The sequence below is a fragment of the Homo sapiens genome, chromosome 19 (assembly GCF_000001405.40).
Source record: "Homo sapiens chromosome 19, GRCh38.p14 Primary Assembly".
NCBI classification, from domain to species: Eukaryota; Metazoa; Chordata; class Mammalia; order Primates; family Hominidae; genus Homo; species Homo sapiens.
Window position 1 is genome coordinate 57,311,165 of NC_000019.10, and position 20,879 is coordinate 57,332,043.

Here is a 20,879-nt window from a genome sequence, read left to right on the forward strand (position 1 = left end):
TGCAGAGGACATTGCCCCTGAAATCTAAAATCTGGTAGGCATGTAAGACCTACAGGGGCTAAGCAGGAAACAGATACAGAAACACTACATACAGAAACATTGGATAGTAGGGAGTAGTGGAGACTGGGAAACTAGAAGTTATGTGTGTACTCTAAAGGGGGATACACAAATTTAATGTAACTATGACTCTGCGATGAGGGTGTACAAAAATTCTCACGACCGGCTGAGCTCCTTTTCTCCTATGGCTGAGGCCGGTGTGAGAGCAAACAATCTGAAAGTTTGTGAATTCCTGTACCTCCCTGGGCTGTTGACATTTTGGTCATCACTGAACAGGCAGGAACCCCAGGACTGACAAAAGAGAGCTTGGAGTCGATCGTGCATCTTTTGTGACCCAGTCAGCATGTGGGAAGTGATGGCCTTCATTGCTTTCTAGTTTTTGCTGCCACTGAAGGAGGGCTGACTCAAGATATGGGAAGAGGGAGAGAGTTGAATAAATACAGGATTGATTGATTCAGATTTTTATGTGGAAACTTTTTTTTCTTAACACATCAATGATATATAATTGGCATACAATAAACTAGACATATTGAAATTGTATAATTTGATAAATTTCGACATGTATACACATGTCAAAAGTTTCCTCATGCCCCTTACTAATCTCCTCTTATTCTCCAATACTTTATCCCCATGTGACCATTGATTTGTTTAATGACACTATACATTAGTTAGTATTTTCTGAAATTTTATATAAATGTAATCATATGGTATGTGTTTATTTTTTATCTGTCTTTCAGTAAACTGTTTCTTTTTAGATTTGGGGGGTACAAGTGCAGTTTTGTTATAGGGATATATTATGTATTGGTGAAGTCTGGGCTTTTAGTGTGACTGTCACCCAAATAGTTCACATTGTACCCAATAGACAATTTCTCATTTTTCACCTTTTTTCCCTTGTTTTGTGGGTTTATTTTCAACTTTTATTTTAAGCTCAGGGGGTCCATGTGCAGGCTTGTTACAGGGGTAAATTGCATATCACTGGGGTTTGATGTACAAATGATTTTGTCACCCAGGTAGTGAGCATAGCACCCAACAGAAAGTTTTTTTGTTTTTTGTGTTTCCCTTACCCTTCTCCCACACTCTCCCATCAAGTAGGCCCTGGTAGCTATTTTTCCCATCTTTGTGTTTATGTGTTCTCATTGTTTACCTCCCACTTATAAGTGAGAAGATGCAGCATTTGGTTTTCTGTTCCTGCATTAATTCATTTCTGATAATAGCCTCCAGCTCCATCCATGCTGCTGCAAAGGACATGATGTTTTTTATGGTTGCATAGTAATCCATGGTGTATACATACCACTTTCTTTATTCATTTCACTGTTGATGGGCATCTAGGTTGATTCATGTCTTTGCTATTGTGGATAGTGCTGCAATGAACATACAGGTGCATGTGTCTTTTTGGTAGAACGATTTCTATTCCTTTGGGTACATAACCAGTAATGGGATTGCTGGGTCAAATGGAAGGTCTGTTTTAAGTTCTTTGAAAAACATCCAAACTGCCTTCCTGAATAGCTGCACTAATTTACTTTCCCAGCAGCAGTGTATAAGCATTCCCTTCTCTCCACAACCTTGCCAATATCTGTTACTTTTTGACTTTAAAACAACCATTCTGACTGATGTGAGATGGCATCTCATTGTGGTTTGATTTACATTTCTCTAATCATTAGTGATGTTGAACCTTTTTTTTCATATGCTTGTTGGCCACATGTATGTCTTCTTTTGAGAAATGTCTGTTTATGTCCTTGGCTCAATTTTTTAAATGAGATTGGTTGTTGTTTTGTTTGTTACTTTGCTTAAGTTCCTTATAGATTCTGGATATTAGACCTTGTCAGATGCACAGGTTGTGAATATTTTCTCCTATTCTGTATGCTGTCTGTTTACTCTGTTGGTGGTTTCTTTCTCTGTACACTTCAGTTTAATTAGGTCCCATCTGTCTATTTTTCCTTTGTTTCAATTGCTTTTAGAGACTTTGTCATGAAACCTTTGCCAAGGCCTGTGTCCAGAATGATATTTTGTAGGTTTCTTCTAAGGTTTTTTATAGATTTAGGTCATACATTTAAGTCTTTAATCCATTTTGAACTGATTTTTGTATATGATGAAAGGAAGGGGTCCAGTTTCAGTCTTCTGCCTATGGCTAACCTGTTATCCCAGCATCATTTATTGAAGGAGAGTCCTTTCCCTATTGCTTGTTATTGCTTACTTTGTCAAAGATCAGATGTTTGGAGATATGTGGCTTTATTTCTGGGTTCTTTATTCTGTTCTAGTTGTCTATATGTCTGTTTTTGTATCAATATCATGCTGTTTTGGTCACTGTAGCCTTTAAGTATAGTTTGAAGTTGGGTACTGTGATGCCTCCAGCTTTGTTCTTTTTGCTTAGGATTGCTTTGGCTATTTGGACTGTTTTTTGGTTCCATGTGATTTTTAGAATATTTTTTCTGATTCTGTGAAAAATGAAATTGGCAGATTGATGAAATAGCACTGAATCCATAAATTGCTTTGGGCAGTATGGCTATTTTAACAATATTGATTCTTTTTATCCATGAGCATGAAATGTTTTTCCATTTGTTTTGGTCATCTCTGATTTCTTTCAGCAGTGTTTTGTAATTCTTGTTGTAGAGATCTTTCCACTCCCTGGCTAGCTTTATTACTAGGTATTTTATTCTTTTTCTTGACTATTGTGTATGAGATTGCATTCTTGATTTGGCTCTCAGACTGGACATTCACTGTATATTATTGGTACATAGAAATGCTGATTTTTGTACATTGATTTTATATACTAAAGCTTTACTGAAGTTATCAGTTCTAGGAGCTTTTGTGCAGAGACTATGGGGTTTTCTAAGTATAGAATCATATCCTCTGCAAAGAGAGATAGTTTGACTTCCTCTCTTCCTATTTGGATGCCTTTTATTTCATTCTCTTGCCTGATTACTCTGGCTAGGACTTCCAGTACTATCTTGAATAGGAGTGGTAAGAGTGAGTATCGTTGTCTTGTTCTGATTCCCAAGGAAAATGCTTCCGGCTTTTGCCTGTCTGGTATAATTTTAGCTGTGAGTTTGTTATAGATGGCTTTTGTTGTTGCTTTGAGACAAGGTTCTTGCTCTGTCACCCAGGCTGGAGTGCAGTGATGCAATCACAGCTCACTGCAACCTCTGCCCTCCTGAGCTCAAGTGCCTCCCACCTCAGCCTCTCGAGCAGCTGAGACTACAGGTGTATGCCATCACACCTGGCTAATTTTTGTGTATTTTGTAGGAACGGGGTTTTGCTATGTTGCCCAGGCTTGTCTCCACCTCCCAAAGTGCTGGGATTATAGGTGTGAGACACTGCACCTGGCCCATAGATGGCTCTTATTATTTTGAGGTCTGTTTCTTCAATGCCTAGTTTGTGGAGGGTTGGAAGGGTTGTTAAATTTTATTGAAAGCCTTCTGTGCATCTATTGAGATAACCATGTGGTTTTTGTTTTTTTGTTCTGTTTATGTGATGAATCACATTTCTTAATTTGCATATGTTGAGCCAACTTTGCATGCCAGATATAAAGCCTGCTTGAGTGTGGTGATCGTGGTGGATTAGCTTTCTGATATGCTGTTGGATTCAGTTAACTAGTATTTTGTTGAGAATTTTGCATTTATGTTTATCAGGGATATTGGCCTAACATTTTCTTTTTTCATTTTGCCTCTGCCAGGTTTTGGTATCAGGATGACTCTGGCCTCACAGAATAAGTTAGGGAGTAGTCCCGCCTCCTTGATTTTTTGGGAATAATTTCAGTAGGATTAGTACCACGTCTTTTTACATCTGGTAGAATACAACTGTGAATCCACCTGGTCCAGGGCTTTTTCTGGTTGGTAGCTTTTTAATTACTGATTCAATTTCAGAACTCATTACTGGTCTGTTCAGGATTTCAATTTCTTCCTGGTTCAATCTTAGGAGGTTGTATGTTTCAAGGAATGTATCCATTTCTTCTAGGTTTTTTAGTTTGTGTGCTAAGTTTTTAGTTCTTAATAGTCTCTGAGAGAATTTTGTACTTCTGTGGGGTAGGTGGTAATGTCACCTTTAACATTTCTGATTGCGTTTTTTTGCATCTTCTTTTTTCCTTATTAATCTAGCTAGTGGGCTACCAGTGTTGTTTATTCTTTTGAAAAACCAACTTACGGTTTTATGATCTTTGTGTAGATTTTCACATCTCAGTTTTATTCAGTTCAACTCTGATATTGGTTATTTTTCTCTGCTGCTTTTCTTTCTTTTGGGGTTGTTTTTTTTTTCTTTTAGTTCCTCTAGGTGTGATGTTATTTTGTTAACTTGAGATTTATCTAACTTCTTGGTGTAGGCATTTTGCACTATAAACTTTCAACACTGCTTTAGCTGTGTCCCAAAGATTCTGGTATGTTGTATCTCTGTTTTAATTAGTTTCAAGGAATTTTTTTATTTGTCTTGATTTCATTCTTTACCTAAAACACATTCAGGAGAAGATTGTTTAATTTCCATGTAATTGTATGGTTTTGAGAGTTCTTCTAGGTATTGATTTCTGTTTCTACTGTGCTATGGTCTGAGAGTGTGGTTGGTATGACTTTTTTTTTAATTGTTGAGTATTGCTTTATGGCCAAGTATGTGATTGATCTTAGAATATGTGACATGTGCAGATGAAAAGAATGTATGTTCTGTGGTTGTTGGGTAGAGTATTCTGTAGATTTCTGTAAGGTCTATTTGGTCAAATGTCCAGTTTAGCTTCCAAATACCTTTGTTAGCTTTCTGCCTTGGTGATGCATCTAACACTGTCAGTGGGGTGTTGAAGTCTCCTGCTATTATTGTCTGGTTGTCTAAGTCTTGTTGTAGGTCTCTAAGAACTTGTTTCATGAATATGGGTGCTCCAGTGTTTGGTGCATATATATTTGGGATAGTTAAGTCTTGTTGAATTGAATCCTTTATCACTATGTGATGCCCTTCTTTGCCTTTTTTGATCATTGTTGGTCTAAAGTCTGTTTCGTGTGAAATAGCAATCCCTGCTCTTTTTTTTCCCATTTGCTTGATCTTTCTCCATCCTTTTACTTTGTGCCTATGGGTGTCATTGCATGTGAGATGTGTCTAATGAAGAGAATACACAGTTGGGTTTCATTTCTTTTTCCAACTTGCCACCTTGTGCCTTCTAAGTGGGGCATTTAGCCTATTTACATTCAAGGTCAATATTGATAAGTGAGGATTTGATCCTGTCATTATGTTGTTAGCTGGTTGTTATGTGGACTTTATTGTATAGTTGGTTTGTAGTATCAACAGGATATGTGCTCAAGTTGTTTCTGTGGTGGCAGATACTCATCTTTTGCTTCTAGGTTTAGCACTGTTTTAAGGACTTCTTGTAAGGCAGGTCTGGTAGTAATGAATTCCCTTAACATTTGTTTGTCTGAAAAAGATTTTATTTATCCTTCACTTAATGAAGTTTAGTTTGGTTGGATATTAAATTCTTGGTTCAAATTTCTTTCATTTAAAAATGCTGAATATAGGCCCCCAGTCTCTTCCAGCTTGTAAACTTTCTGAAAGGTCCACGGTTAGCCTGATCGGGTTCCTTTTGTGGGTAACCTGCCACTTCTCTCTAGCTGCCTTTAATGTTTTTCTTTTGTATTGACCTTGGAGAATCTGATGACTATGTGTCTTAGGGATGGTCATCTTGTATAATATCATCTCACAGGGGTTCTCTGAATGTCCTGAATTTGCATGTCAACCTCTCTAGTGTGGTTGGGGAAATGTTCATGGACAGTATCATCAAATATGTTTTCCAAGTTCCTTGTTGTCTCTCCATCTCTTTCTGGAATGCCAATGTGTTATAGGCTTGGTCTTTTTACATATCCCATATTTCTTGTAGGTTTTATTCATTTTTTAAAATTCTTTTTTCTTTATTTTTTTCTGCTGTATTGGTTCAAAGGAGTCGTGTTTGAGCTCTGAGATTATTTTCTTTTTTTTTGTGGGATAGCAAACACTTATTTGAAGAACTTTTAGGATAAAATTTAGTTTACCTCTGATAAAGCTGAAGAAAAATGATTGCAGTTTTTATGCATTAAATGATAAACATTGCCTTTGTATTCTTTTCCCAGTTCTTCTACAATTTTTTCTATATCATCTTCTAGGAAGTCCGTGCTCCCTAAAACAACTTCTTTAAATTTAAATGGTTCTCCTAGTTCAGAAGCATTTCCTGGGGAAATTTCAAATATTCCAGAAAAGGGGTAAGGATGGCCACCATAAGCAAATTCTCTGCCATAGACTTCAATTTCTGAATGAAAAACTCCAATTCCAATGGATGAGGTATATTCCTTCATCCAATACATGTCACACACGTTGAGCACCACTAACTGGTTAGCCCCCATCCTCCTCCCCGCGGCCGCCGCCTAGTCCTCAAGCCGCTCGGTCTCCGCGGGGCCGGAGGCCGCTCCCACCCCCGCGGGCGCTTCAAGGGGCCTGAGCCGGGCACTAAGCGTACAGCCCTGCCCGTGGCAGCCGGGGCAGAAGCATCGGGCAGCCAAGCCACTCCCGGGCGCCAACGACAGGAGCCTCTGTGCGGACAGGGCCGGACAGCTGGCGGCCCGCTCCGGATGAGGCACCTCCCCTAGGCGGCAGACACATGGGGAAAAACTGAGCTCTGAGACTATTTTCTAAGCTTGGTCTATTCTGTTGTTAGCGCTTCCAGTTACATTATGAAATTGCAATTGCTGTAGTTAATTTCTTATTTCCAGAAGTTCAGTTTGATGACTCTTTTTCTTTTCTTTCTTTTTTTTCTTTCTTTTTTTTTTTTTTTTTTTTTTTTTGAGACGGAGTCTTGCTCTGTTGCACAGGCTGGAGTGCAATGGCATGATCTTGGCTCACTGCAACCTCCATCTCCTGGATCCAAGGGACTCTTGTGCCTCAGCCTCCCGAGTAGCTGGGATTACAGGTGCCTGCCAGCACACCCAGCTAATTTCTGTATTTATAGTAGAGATAGGGTTTCACCATGTTGGTCAGGCTGGTTTCGAACTCCTGACCTCAAGTGATCCACCCGCATCAGCCTCCCAAAGTGCTGGGATTACAGACGTGAGCCACCGTGCCCAGCCCATTTTGGTTCTTTGTTAATATGGTAATATTATATTTAAACTCTTGGATTGCATTATTGGTTTCCTTGGATTTTTCCTTCCTTGCCATCCAGACTCTGAATTCTAAGTCATTTCAGCCATTTAAGCATGGTTCCAAACCATCACTAGGGAGCTAGTGCAGTCGTTTGGAGACCTTTAGAGTTGCCAGAAATCTTGCACTGGTTCTTTCTCATATGTGTGGGCTGATGTTCCTTGAATCTTTGAAGTTGCTCTCCTTTGGATGGGGCTTTCTGCTTTTATATTATTTGATGCCCTTGGGAGTTTTACTGTGGTATAAGTTGGGTTTAGTTTCATGGTTTCAATTATGGGTGCTTTCACAGGCCAAGGCTCAGCTGAGCACTCCTGAGCTGCATGCTGTAAACCTGGGTAGAGGGGATTAAGCCCTTGGCTTTGTTCTCTGGCTGCTTGGGGTGAAGCACCTGCTGTGCTAGAGGGGCTGAGGTGTTCTCAGTCTGCTGGCAAAAGTGCTCCAGCAGAGCATTGTGGGGACTGCAGAGAGTGCACTGTGGCTGGGGGATGGGGAGGCCACAGGCAAGTGTGCACCACTTGGGCAGTAGAGGGGGGCTACCTGCAAGTGTGTGCCAATGGGGTGGCATGGCTGTGGTGTAGGTGAGTGAAGCACCATGGTGTGAGGGGTCCCCGGCAATGCCTCCCACCTTTTTGAATCTCCAGTGTCTATTATTCCACTATTTCCATATGTATACATCATTTAGCTACCACTTATAAGTGATAACATGCAGTATTTGACTTTGTTTCTGAATTATTTCACTTAAGAGAATGGCCCCCCAGTTCCAGCCATATTGCTGCAAAAGCCATGATTTTTTTTAATGACTGAGTAGTATTCCATGGAGTGTATATATATATACACATATATACATATACATACATATATATACATATATATACATATACATACATATATACATATATACATATACATACATATATATACATATATATACATATACATACATATATATACATATATATACATATACATACATATATATACATATACATACATATATATACATATATATACATATACATACATATATACACATATATATACATATACATACATATATACATATATATACATATACATACATATATACATATATATACATATACATACATATATACATATACATACATATATATACATATATACATATACATACATATATATACATATATATATCGCATTTTCTTTATCCAATCATCTGTCGATGGACACTTAGGTTGATTCTATGACTTTGCTACTGTGAATAGTGCTACAGTAAGCATGTAAGTACAGGCATCTTTTTGATATAGTGGTTTATTTTCCTTTAAGTAAATACCCAATAGTGGAATTGCCAGATCAAATGGCAGTTCTATTTTCAGTTCTTTGATAAATCTCCATACTGTTTTCCATAGAGGTTGTACTAATTTACATTCCCACCAATAGCATATAAGCGTTCCCTTTTCCTTGCATCCATACCAACATCTGTTGGTTTTTTACTTTTTAATAATAGCCACTCTGACCAGTATAAGATGGCATCTCAGTGTGTTTATGTGTGTGTGTTTTCTCTCATCATATCTCATTATAACCTCAAATTCCTGGGCTCAAGCAATCCTCTTGCTTCAGCCTCCCAGTGTCTAGGACTACAGGTGTACACCATCATGCCTTGCTCTTTTTTTTTTTTTTGGTAGATATAACATCTTACTATATTGCCCAGGGTGGTCTCAAACTCCTGACCTCAGCAATTATTTTGTGTTGGCATCCCAAAGCACTGAGATTACATATATGAGCTACCTCCCTAAAATAAGGGAAGTGAGCCAGAAGCTCTGGGCCCAGCCCATGATCTCAATCGGGGCGAATATCCCCGCCTCCTGACCTCAATTTTCCTAAGCTAGAAAGGACCTTTCGACCCTCCGACTTGTGCCCATAGTAAAGCGGCGGCCCTAAGACGACGCGGGGGTCCTTGTGCGCACTTAAATGGAGTCGGCTGCGCTTGGTGAGTTCCCACACCCGGTAGATGTGAGGGAAAAACTGCCTTACTCAGAAGGCACCACCCCTTGCGTCGGCCGCGGACTCTAGGCCAATGACGGGCCAGGACACGGGCGATTTCTGCGGGCCAGGGCGGCGGAGGTGGGACTTCCGCTTCGTCGCGTGACGTCATCTCCGTGAGCAGGATTGGCCCTGGAACAGTGTGGGGCCTGGACCGCTGGGTAGGCGCGTCCAGCGGCCTGAGCAGGGGAGGGTAATGAGGCTGTTACGCGCCTTCTCCGCATCTTGGCGGGAGCCTGACGCCCCGCTTCTTCCCTAACGGGGTGTTCCACCGGCGCCTGCCGAGGCCTAGGCCTCCGCAGCCGCCCTCCGTCTCCTCAGCCCCGACGCTGCGCCCGCTTTGTGCGCATTTTTCTCTGGGGAAACTGAGGCTCCGAGTGCGAAAGTCAGCCGAGGTCGCCCCGCCCAGGACAGAGAAGGGCTGGGGGTCGGCTGAGCCGCGGCATTCCCGGGCCCCGCTAGGGCTGCAGGGTCTCAGGATGGCAGCCTCGGCGCAGGTGAGTGGACGAGGTTTTGGCCTTGCTGCTGCTCTGCTACTTCTGGAGGCCTCGTGGGCAGGCAGAAGCCAAGACAGCCACAGGATGTTTCTTTGTCGCCGTCGTTTATTTAAGAGAAGTGGCCGTAGCTTGTCATTTCCTTTATCCGCAGTCCTGCAATAGTGTTGGCCTCCGACAGGTGCTCAGTCCTTGGTAGAAGGATGAATGATGCTTCCTTCATGGATCTCATCACACTTCCCTTAAATCCAACCTCCTCTGTTGCCTGCCAGCCCCTACCCCATCCACCTGGCCAACCACCCCTGACCTTGTCTCTCCATTTTTCCCTTGTCCTTTGCTCTTCAGAGCCACCAACCTGACCGTGCAGTCTTCTTCCTTTTTCCAGGCTTTCTCTTTGCACTTCCCTTTGCCTTGAACACTGCCCCTATAACTTCGCAGGGCCTCCCTCTCATATCTTTCTGGCCTCTGTCCAGATGTCACCTATTTGGAGGTGGCTTTCTTGGCAATTCCGGCTAAAGTGGCGCCTTACGCACTTGCCCATTTTTGGCAATGTGTGGCATTTTTGTATAGAGAATCTGACGATATTAAAGAAGCTTGCCGTTTGAGTTGGTCTAGGATGTTATGTGAACAAAGAGAAACGAAATAATTGCAAAGAGTGACAGCTGATCATAAAGAGTCCTTGCTGTGGGCTGATTGGCAGGCATTATTTAACCCTCAGCTCCTTTAATCCTGAACTCCTTAGAATTAGGTTCTCTTGTCCTCACTGTTTTACACAAGAGCAGCTGGAGGCTCACATAGGTTCAATTACCTGCCTTACATCACTGTAGCTCTTAAGTATCAGAAACTAACAACTGGTGTGTCTACCATCACAGCCTGTGTTTTTACCCTCTTCTTTGCCCGCAATGGTTAGGGAGGCCTGGGGGTGACACCTAAAGTAAACTTTGCAAGTTGAGCAGGCTTCCTTCTAGCAGGTGGTCTTGGACATGAGGAGTCATGGCATTTCATGCTGGTGGAACTGTGTGGACTAAAAAAAAATGGTTTATTGGTTGTTTAAGGAGTCCGCAGGGGACCCGTGTGGCTTCCACAGTGGTTTCCTGAGTGGTTTTCTCCTATACCAGCTGACACATGTCTTGGGACACAAGATTTTGTGGTCTTTTGCTAGATGTGCCTTCCTCCTTAGCCAGGACAGACATAGCCAGTCAGGGGCCCATGTTCTCATGGCTACAACCTGCTGTGTCCTCTGTGACTCTTGTTCCTTGCTCCTGAAGTATCCTGACCTCAGGGATACTTGTTGGTAGGACTCAAACAGGAAAAGGTAGTGATAGCTCGTTGTGGATTCTTCCTATGAGAATGGGCATCTGTGAGGCCCAGAAGTGTCCGAGGCAGCAGATGCAGGTCCAGGCCCTGCCACTTTTGAGGCAGGTGCCACCACCTCAGGTGACTCTTCTGTGAGGTAGGTGATTATGACTATGCTGCTCTGCCCAGGTCCATGAAAATATTTCAAGTGGCTAACCCCAGCACAGTGGCATGTGTCTGTATATCCAGCTTGGGAGGCTAAGGCAGGAGGATCATGAGTTCAAGCCCAACCTGGGCAAAATATTGAGACCCTGTCTCAAAAAAAAAAAAAAAAATCCTGAAAATATTTTCAGGGTGGCTCAAATGGATGTATTTCAATGTTTCCCATCCTCATTAACTGTGCATTAACTTTGCTAATGAAGGAGTGTCGGGTTGCATGATTAGAACATAGACCATAGGGCCCTGGGTTCAAATTCTGTCTCTCCTGATAAGAGATGTGACTTTGGGTAGACTAGTGGAGGTCCTGGACCTCAAGTCTCTGAGTGTGACATGGAGATGATGATGGTGAACTCAGGAGCTGTGGCCCTTTGCCCCAGTGTTTCCTTTACAGCTTTTCTTCAGATCTTTTGACTATTCTTGGTGAAGTGGAAAACCCTGTTGTGTTGACCTGGACATCAGGGCTCAGATAAATGAAATGAGATTTCCAAGGTCACATAGCAGGCTTGTGTTGATTTCAGGAATTTGGTTTTAAACCTCAGGAGTCTGACTCCTGAGCTGGGGACTTTTAGTCACTTTACCATGGCATGTAAAGCCATTAGCATGAGGCAGGCTCACAGGGAGGATCGGTAAGACTCAGGTGCTGTTCTTGTTGTTGTTGCTGGTGTTGTTTTTGTTATTATTCTTTCCCATTCCTCTGATGTCTCAGAGCACTTACTGTCTTGCCTCTCAGTCCCCTTAGGATTGTCCTAACCTTATTTCTGTGTGAAGTGGCTTTCTGCATAGGAGGCTTCTCTCTCTTCACTGCTGTAATTTTTTTTTTTTTTTTTGAGACGAGTCTCGCTCTGTCACCCAGGCTGGAGTACAGTGGCACGATCTCGGCTCACTGCAAGCTCCGCCTCCCGGGTTCACGCCATTCTCCTGCCTCAGCCTCCCGAGTAGCTGGGAATACAGGCGCCCGCCACCGCGCCCGGCTAATTTTTTTGTATTTTTAGCAGAGACGGGGTTTCACCATGTTAGCCAGGATGGTCTCGATCTCCTGACCTCGTGATCTGCCCTTCATGGCCCCCCAAAGTGCTGGGATTACAGGCGTGAGCCACCGCGCCTGACCGACACTGCTGTAATTTATCCAAGGCAATGTCCACATTCCCCTCATGCCTGGCACAGATCATGGCCCTCTAGAGATGCTTGGTGATTTGATTCTTGGGTCACTGCGCATCTTTTGCAGTGCTGAAGTGACAAGTTCTAGTTGTATTCCACAGTTCCAAGGGAAACACTACTATCTCTGTTTAATTTTCCAGGTGTCTGTGACCTTTGAGGATGTGGCTGTGACATTCACCCAGGAGGAGTGGGGACAGTTGGATGCAGCCCAGAGAACCTTGTATCAGGAGGTGATGCTGGAGACCTGCGGACTTCTCATGTCTCTGGGTAAGGCCCCTTCTGGTCCTGTGCTCCCTTAGGATTGAGTTCTCCTACTCATGTTCCCCTCTCTCCTCCACAGCCCACTTGTTCTGAGGCTCCTGGCACCACGCAGGGGTGTTCACCATTGGCTCTGAGCGTAGCACTTGGGAGACCAGGGTCTGGTGTCCAGGAGTCCACTCCCATCTCCACTGCTCATGATCCCTGTGTTCCTGGGCAAGTTAAGGAATCCCTCTGTGCCTCAGTTTTTCTCATGAATAAAAAGGGCCAGGCCAGGCACAGTGGCTCATGTCTGTAATCCCAGCACTTTGGGAGGCCGACGCGGACAAATCAGGAGGTCAGGAGTTTGAGACAAGCCTGGGCAACATGGTGAAATCCCGTCTCTACTAAAAATACAAAAAATTAGCCGGGTGTGATGGCGGGTGCCTGTAATCCCAGCTACTCAGGAGGCTGAGGCAGGAGAATCACTTGAACCCGGGAGGCGGAAGTTGCAGTGAGCTGAGATCTCATCACTACACTCCAGCCCAGGCGACAGTGTGAGAGAGACTCCGTCTGAAAAAAAAAAAAAAAAAAGGCCAATATAGTATTTGTTTCATAGGGCTAGTGTGAGGGCAAATGGTTCAGTAGAGTGTGTTGTGATAGGTGGCTGGGCGCAGGTTAGCAATTGTGACCTCTGTTGCTGTCACTATTGTCACTGCTGTCTAAATCATTGTCCTCATAATCAGCAGTATCACACTTGGACTCCGCAGTTTTTGGAACAACTTTGTATAGTTTTTTAGTTAAATTGGCCAGATGCTTTTGATGACTAGACTCAGGTGTACATTTTGGCTTGGCCATTCGCCATTTCCCAGATTTTGGCAAGTCACTTTATCTGCCTGAGCCTCGATCTCTTCATCTATAATGTGGTCCTGATTGCAGTACATTCTTAATGTGCATCCTGTGAAGAAATCCTAAAATAGAATTTTTCATGCAGGGACCATAGGAGTAGCAATGTAATGCTTTGCTTAGAATGTAAAAAAAAAGCCTTAGGTCAGTGAAGAAACTTACCTTTCTCCTGAATGGAGACTCAGTATCTCAAATATGTTATTTCTTTTCTAAACTAATGACTAAATTTAATTGAGTGTTTATAAAATACAATGCATTTAAATTGCTTGGCATATTCCCTAGGTTATAGTTACATTGTATAAATATCAGTTATTGACATACTATTAGGAGTAAAGTTCTATGGCCAGGTGGCATATTGATTAAGGACTTGGATTTGAGAGCCACAGCAGCAAAGTCTCTCCAAGAAGTGACATTTGAGCTGAGACCCAAAGAGTGAGTTGATTAGAAGGAGCAAGATAGAGGAGCAAGTAGTATTCCAAGTAGGCAGGCTGGCATGTGCAAAGGCCCTGAGGTGGTGAAGAGCATGATCCTGACAAAGCTGAAGGAAGGTCTGATTCCCCTTTTTCACTGCACTGTCATTGAACCCAGTGCCAAGCACATAGCAAAAATGAGTGAACATTTGCTTAGAGATGACTGATGAATCCCACCCTGTGTTTTTGTGGGTCCTACTGCCTGTGCCATTAACTTCTCCATAGAGTACTTATGTCTTTTACCCCCTTATATTTTGAAAAGTTTTGGGCTATATGTGCAGATCAGCTCATACAGTCTTAACCCTGAAGGAAATATATTATCTCACCTAATAAGCTTAGTGGTAAGGCTGGCTCCTGGGTTGGTGGGTGTCAAGCCAGTTGTCTTTCTTTGCTCCCACTTTCTTTTTTCTTTTTTGGAGACAGGGTCTCACTCTGTAACCCACACTGGAGTGCAGTGGTACGATCTCAGCTCACTGCAGCCTCACCTTCCAGTCTCAAGTGATCCTCCCACCTCAGTCTCCTAAGTAGCTGGGACCACGGGTGCATGACACCACACCCGGCTACTTTTTGTATTTTTAGTAGAGATGGGGTTTCACCATTTGCCCTAGCTGGTCTCAGACTCCCAAAGCGTTGGGATTACAAGCGTGAGCCACTGTGCCCAGCCTCTTTGCTCCCTCTTCTTGGTAAGGTTTTTAGGCAGGTTCCCTCACAGAATTCCCAGGATGCTGCATGGCAGCAGGAGTGGCAGCCTCCCTCATTTAGCCCTTCCTGAAAGAGAAGGTTTTTTCTCTCTTTGGAGTGGCTGGTATAGGTCACCTGCCTACCTCAGAGTACAGTTGATCAGGGTTGCCATTTGCAAGATGATGGAGACCAGGACTTTTCTACTGCCATGGGGACTAATTATAAAATCCCTTCAGAAAATTTGTCTTAACAGGGTTGAGATTTTTGTAGGATGGAGATTAAAAGTAATTGGTACTATCACACAGCCAGCACTACTGCTTACAGTCTTTGGGGCCCAATGAGGATGTTTTTTTTCTCTTTTTTTGAGACGGAGCTTCGCTCTTGTCGCCCAGGCTGGAGTGCAGTGGCATGATCTCGGTTCACTACAACCTCCGCCTCCTGGGTTCAGCCTCCCGAGTAGCTGGGACTACAGGTACCCGCCACCACACCTGGCTAACTTTTTGTATTTTTAGTAGAGATGGGGTTTCACCATGTTGGGCAGGCTGGTCTCGAACTCCTGACCTCAGGTGATCCACCTGCCTTGGCCTCCCAAAGTGCTGGGATTACAGGCATGACCCACTGTGCCCTGCCAGATGGTGTTTTTGTGGTTGTTTTATGGTCACGGTTCAACGTTTTCTTTGCTTGGCTGAGAATAGCTTCACTTCATGGTCTTCCCCATCCTGCAGTCCCAGATCAGATTGACAGGTTTCTTTCTTCTAACCTAACTCCCTGTGTCCTCTTTTGTTCTCCATGCACAGGCTGTCCTTTGTTCAAACCAGAGCTGATCTACCAGTTGGATCACAGACAGGAGCTATGGATGGCTACAAAAGACCTCTCCCAAAGCTCCTATCCAGGTAGGAGCCAACAGCTGGGAAGGTGGGGGTCATGGCAGCTTACACATGGAAAAGTGAACACTGCCTCTGAATTTTGTGGGCAATCTTCTTATTGTGGTCTCTCTGGGTGCTTGGGATCCATGGAGCCTCTCCCCGCCCGCCCCCCCCCACCCGCCTTCAGACAGGGTTTCACTCTGTCACTCAGGCTGGAGTACAGTGATGTGATCATAGCTCACTGCAGCCTCAACCTCCTGGGCTCAAGGGATTCTCCCACCTCAGCCTCCCGGGTAGCTGAGACTACAGGCATATGCACCATGCCTGGCTGAGTTTTTAAAATTTTTTATAGAGATGGTCTTGTTATGTTGCTGAGGCTGGTCTCAAACTCCTGGGTTCAAGCTCTCCTCCTGCCTCAGTGTTCGAAAATGCTGAGCCACCAAGCCTGGCCTCTTACATCTTAAATTTAAGTACTTCCAAGTTAGGTCCCAGATGTATATATTTCACTAACGCATAATAAAAAATTATGGCTAACATGTATTTATTTCTTACTCAGTGCCTTGCTCTCTGCCGACGATAGTATATGTAGTGTTTCACTTCATCTTCACTATAGTCTTACAAGGCAGACTCTATTTTTGGCCCTTTTTGTTTGTTTGTTTCCGAGATGGAGCCTCCCACTGTTGCCCTGGCAGGAGTGCGATGGTGCAGTCTTGGCTCACTACAACCTCCGTCTCCTGGGTTCAAGTGATTCTCCTGCCTCAGCCTCCTGAGTAGCTGGGATTACAGGCGTGCACCACCATGCCCAGCTAATTTTTGTATTTTTAGCACAGACGGGGTTTCACCATGTTGGCCAGGCTGGTCTCAAACTCCTGACCTCAGGTGATCTGCCTGCCTTGGCCTCCCAAAGTGCTGGGATTACAGGTATGAATCACTGTCCCTGGCCTTTGTTTTTTCTATAATGCCATCTCTAATAAGCCTTTTTGTGTATTGTGTTCGTTCCAGGTGACAACACAAAACCCAAGACCACAGAGCCTACCTTTTCTCACCTGGCCTTGCCTGAGGAAGTCTTACTCCAGGAACAACTGACACAAGGAGCCTCAAAGAACTCCCAATTAGGGCAATCCAAGGATCAGGATGGGCCATCTGAAATGCAAGAAGTCCACTTGAAAATAGGGATAGGCCCCCAGCGGGGGAAGCTGCTGGAGAAAATGAGTTCTGAACGTGATGGTTTGGGGTCAGATGATGGTGTATGTACAAAGATTACACAGAAACAAGTTTCAACAGAAGGTGATCTCTATGAATGTGATTCACATGGACCAGTTACAGATGCCTTGATTCGCGAAGAGAAAAATTCCTATAAATGTGAGGAATGCGGGAAAGTGTTTAAAAAGAATGCCCTCCTTGTTCAGCATGAACGGATTCACACTCAAGTGAAGCCCTATGAATGCACAGAGTGTGGGAAAACCTTTAGCAAGAGCACTCATCTTCTTCAGCACCTCATCATCCACACTGGGGAGAAGCCCTATAAGTGCATGGAGTGTGGGAAGGCTTTTAACCGCAGGTCACACCTCACACGGCACCAGCGGATTCACAGTGGAGAGAAGCCTTATAAGTGCAGTGAATGTGGAAAGGCCTTCACCCACCGCTCCACTTTTGTCTTGCATCACAGGAGCCACACTGGAGAAAAACCCTTTGTGTGCAAAGAGTGTGGCAAAGCCTTTCGAGATAGGCCAGGTTTCATTCGACACTACATCATCCACACGGGAGAGAAGCCCTATGAGTGCATTGAGTGTGGGAAGGCCTTCAACCGCCGGTCATACCTCACGTGGCACCAACAGATTCACACTGGAGTGAAACCCTTTGAATGCAACGAGTGTGGAAAAGCTTTTTGCGAGAGTGCAGACCTCATTCAACACTACATTATCCACACTGGGGAGAAGCCCTATAAGTGCATGGAGTGTGGGAAGGCGTTCAACCGTAGGTCACACCTCAAGCAGCATCAACGGATTCACACTGGGGAGAAGCCTTATGAATGCAGTGAATGTGGAAAGGCCTTCACCCACTGCTCCACTTTTGTCTTGCATAAAAGGACCCACACAGGAGAAAAACCCTATGAATGCAAAGAATGTGGAAAAGCCTTTAGTGATAGGGCAGACCTCATTCGCCACTTCAGCATCCACACTGGAGAGAAACCCTATGAGTGCGTGGAGTGTGGAAAGGCCTTCAACCGCAGCTCACACCTCACGAGGCACCAACAGATTCACACTGGAGAGAAACCCTATGAATGCATCCAGTGTGGGAAAGCCTTTTGCCGGAGCGCAAACCTTATTCGACACTCCATCATTCACACTGGAGAGAAGCCGTATGAATGCAGTGAGTGTGGAAAGGCTTTTAATCGCGGCTCATCCCTCACACATCATCAAAGGATTCATACTGGGAGAAACCCTACCATTGTAACAGATGTGGGAAGACCTTTTATGACTGCACAGACTTCAGTCAACATCCAGGAACTTTTATTAGGGAAAGAGTTTTTGAATATCACCACTGAAGAAAATCTGTGGTGAAAGGGAACATCTTACCATCTGGCCATTCACACTGAAGAGAAACTTCATAAGCATCCTCTCTTTGAGAAAACGTGTAATAGATGATCATTTGTCGTCTAAACAATCAAGTTAGAAATTGAACCAGCCTGGAGTCTTATTCTCCACCTGAGAATTCACCCATGAGAGAGACCCAGTGGTTGCTATGCACTTAGGAAAACTTTCAGCCACATCTTTCTTCTTAGTTTACAGTGAAATATTATCTCAGGGATATTTTTTTTTTTTTTTTGAGACGGAGTCTCGCTCTGTCGCCCAGGCTGGAGTGCAGTGGCGGGATCTCGGCTCACTGCAAGCTCCGCCTCCCGGGTTCACGCCATTCTCCTGCCTCAGCCTCCCAAGTAGCTGGGACTACAGGCACCCGCCACTACGCCTGGCTAATTTTTTGTATTTTTAGTAGAGACGGGGTTTCACCGTTTTAGCCGGGATGGTCTCGATCTCCTGACCTCGTGATCCGCCCGCCTCAGCCTCCCAAAGTGCTGGGATTACAGGCGTGAGCCACCGCGCCCGGCCATCTCAGGGATATTTAAACAAAGGAAGAGGAAATATAGGGAAGAGAAAGAAACCACAGCTTCTTTTAGACTTGTCTGACAAGCCTATGGCAATTTTGTCGTCCCTTTGTTATTTTATGTGGGAGAGGGAAATGTTTCAGAAACGAAAGATCTCATCCCCTTTATTTTTCTGTGTATGCATTCACTGCTGCCCAGTGTCAGAACAGTTATACAAACGAGGGCTTGAAAACATTTTGTGAAAACTTGCTTAGTCCTGCAACGTTCTCCACTCTCGAGGTGCAGAAGCATACATCTTTATAAAAAATATGGAGGCTTGAGTTATGAAACACTTTTATAAGGAGATAAGGATGTACATATGTTTGGACACATTGTCCACTTCAGATGCTTGTTTAAAAAAATGTTTCACCATGTGTCTTTACCCAATACACATACTTTTTCTTGATGTGGATTTACTTTTTTTTTTTTTTTTTAAGTTTTCCTGGGATAGGGATGATAGTGTAATTGTTCATGCCCACAGTAATCCTGGGAATCTTAGTTTTTTCCTATGATTGTGGTTTCTCAGCTTCTTTACCTCTCCTTTGAGTTAGGTCCACCTCAGTTTTCTAAAGGTCAAATTAAGGCCCCCCCAAAAATACAGTATGTAGCTGAATTCCTTTGAAAGATCATGATAAACTCAGAAGAACAAACATAGAAGGAATGTCATTTTTAATCTTTTTAAAGAGTGTGTGAAAATTCACTTTAACTGGAATTTTAACAGGCAAGCCGGCATGCATATATGTAGGGATGTGTGACTTTCACAGTTGTCACCATGGACTTAGGCTTGATTAAAATGCTACACATTTAGAGCGTTTTGTAATTCCTTTTTTATATTTTTAAGACTAGATTTTGAGCCATGTGATAGTTTTACCTCATATTAAATATATTGTACAGAAGTAAAAATAATCATGTATTCACTTTGAACTCCTCAAAGCCTTTTTTATTTATTTACTTATTTACTTACTTGGTTTAGGAGCAGAGGTTTAATAGGCAAAAGAAAGAGAAAAGAGACTAGCTCTCTTCTGAGAAGAGAGGGGTGTCCAAGTGGGACTTCCCTCCTCAGAGCCTTTTTTTTTTTTTTTTTTTTGGAGACAGAGTTTTGCTCTTGTTGCTCAGGCTGGAGTTCAGTGGCACAGTCTTGGCTCACTGCAACCTCTGCCTCCCGAGTTCAAGCGATTCTTCTTCAGCCTCCCAAGTAGCTGGGATTACAGGCATGCGCCACCACGCCCAGCTAATTTTGTATTTTTAATAGAGATGGGGTTTCTGCATGTTGGTCAGGCTGATCTCGAACTCCTGACAGGTGATCCACCTGCCTCGGCCTCCCAAAGTGCTGGGATTACAGGTGTGAGCCACTGCGCCCAGCGCTCACAGCCTTTTAGTGAACACTTGTATAGTTTTCTATTGTAGGCAAAGCCATTTTGTACTGCATTAATTCATGTCATTATTTTGAAGACATCTCTTGGTCCTTTTTTTTTTTTAATTGAGATGGAGTCTCGCTCTGTTGCCCAGGCTGGAGTGCAGTGGTGAGATCTCGGCTCACTGCAGCCGCCTCCACCTTCCGGGTTCAAGTGATTTTCCTGCCTCAGCCTCCCAAGTAGCTGGGACTACAGGTTTGTGCCACCACACCCAGCTAATTTTTGTATTTTTAGTAGAGATGGGGTTTCACCATGTTGGCCAGGATGGTCTTCATCTCTTAACCTTGTGATCTGCCTGGCTCAACCTTCCAAAGTGTTGGGATTACAGGCGTGGCCACTACGCCTGGCCCTCCTTGTCCTTTTTATGTCATGTCTAAGAACTCCTCACCAGGTTTTCTATCGTATTTCCTCCTACAAATTTTATCTTCTACATTGGATCTGATTCATGTTAAGTTAATTTTTGTATTACAGTATGAACTTTAGTTTCTTTTGTTGTTGCCCATGAATTTTTTTAAGCTCCATTTCTTGAAAAGACTATTCTGCCTCTATTGAATTGCTTTTACACCTTAGCAAAAAATTATTTAAGTATATTCATGTTGGTCTATTTCTTGGTTCTCTATGTTATTCCATTGGTCTTCGAGCCTAAACCTATGCCAATACCACTCTATTTTGATTACTATTGCTATCTACTAAATTTTAAAATAGGGTAAACTTATTCCTCACTCTTTATTCTTTTTAAAAATTGATTTGGGGCCAGGCATGGTGGCTCACGCCTGTAATCC

General features: G+C 43.5%; 1 protein-coding gene and 1 pseudogene across 1 annotated transcript, besides 4 other annotated features; one reads left to right on the plus strand and one right to left on the minus strand.

Moving 5' to 3' along the window:
* On the minus strand, positions 6,051-6,586 carry LOC100288211 (PPPDE peptidase domain containing 1 pseudogene; annotated as a pseudogene).
* Positions 6,317-6,611: a silencer, noted in NCBI's record as "tiled region #10022; HepG2 Repressive DNase matched - State 4:PromP, and K562 Repressive non-DNase unmatched - State 7:EnhWF". NCBI's record gives its function as "represses a minimal TATA promoter and a strong SV40 promoter by Sharpr-MPRA in HepG2 and K562 cells {active_cell/tissue: HepG2 | K562}" and the evidence as "EXISTENCE:reporter gene assay evidence [ECO:0000049][PMID:27701403]".
* Positions 7,684-8,201: an enhancer, noted in NCBI's record as "H3K4me1 hESC enhancer chr19:57830216-57830733 (GRCh37/hg19 assembly coordinates)". NCBI's record gives its function as "activates a minimal SCP1, AML or CMV promoter by ChIP-STARR-seq in naive H9 embryonic stem cells {active_cell/tissue: H9 hESC(naive)}" and the evidence as "EXISTENCE:reporter gene assay evidence [ECO:0000049][PMID:30033119]".
* Positions 9,127-9,246: an enhancer, noted in NCBI's record as "active region_15131". NCBI's record gives its function as "activates an Ori minimal core promoter by ATAC-STARR-seq in GM12878 lymphoblastoid cells {active_cell/tissue: GM12878}" and the evidence as "EXISTENCE:reporter gene assay evidence [ECO:0000049][PMID:35858748]".
* Positions 9,257-9,406: an enhancer, noted in NCBI's record as "active region_15132". NCBI's record gives its function as "activates an Ori minimal core promoter by ATAC-STARR-seq in GM12878 lymphoblastoid cells {active_cell/tissue: GM12878}" and the evidence as "EXISTENCE:reporter gene assay evidence [ECO:0000049][PMID:35858748]".
* ZNF543 (zinc finger protein 543) lies at positions 9,308-19,606 on the plus strand. The gene is made up of 4 exons (NM_213598.4): positions 9,308-9,707; positions 12,518-12,644; positions 15,469-15,564; positions 16,540-19,606. The coding sequence occupies exons 1-4, from the start codon at positions 9,690-9,692 to the stop codon at positions 18,099-18,101; spliced, it is 1,803 nt and encodes a 600-aa protein (NP_998763.2). The 5' UTR covers positions 9,308-9,689; the 3' UTR covers positions 18,102-19,606.
* The last annotated feature ends 1,273 nt before the right edge of the window (positions 19,607-20,879 follow it).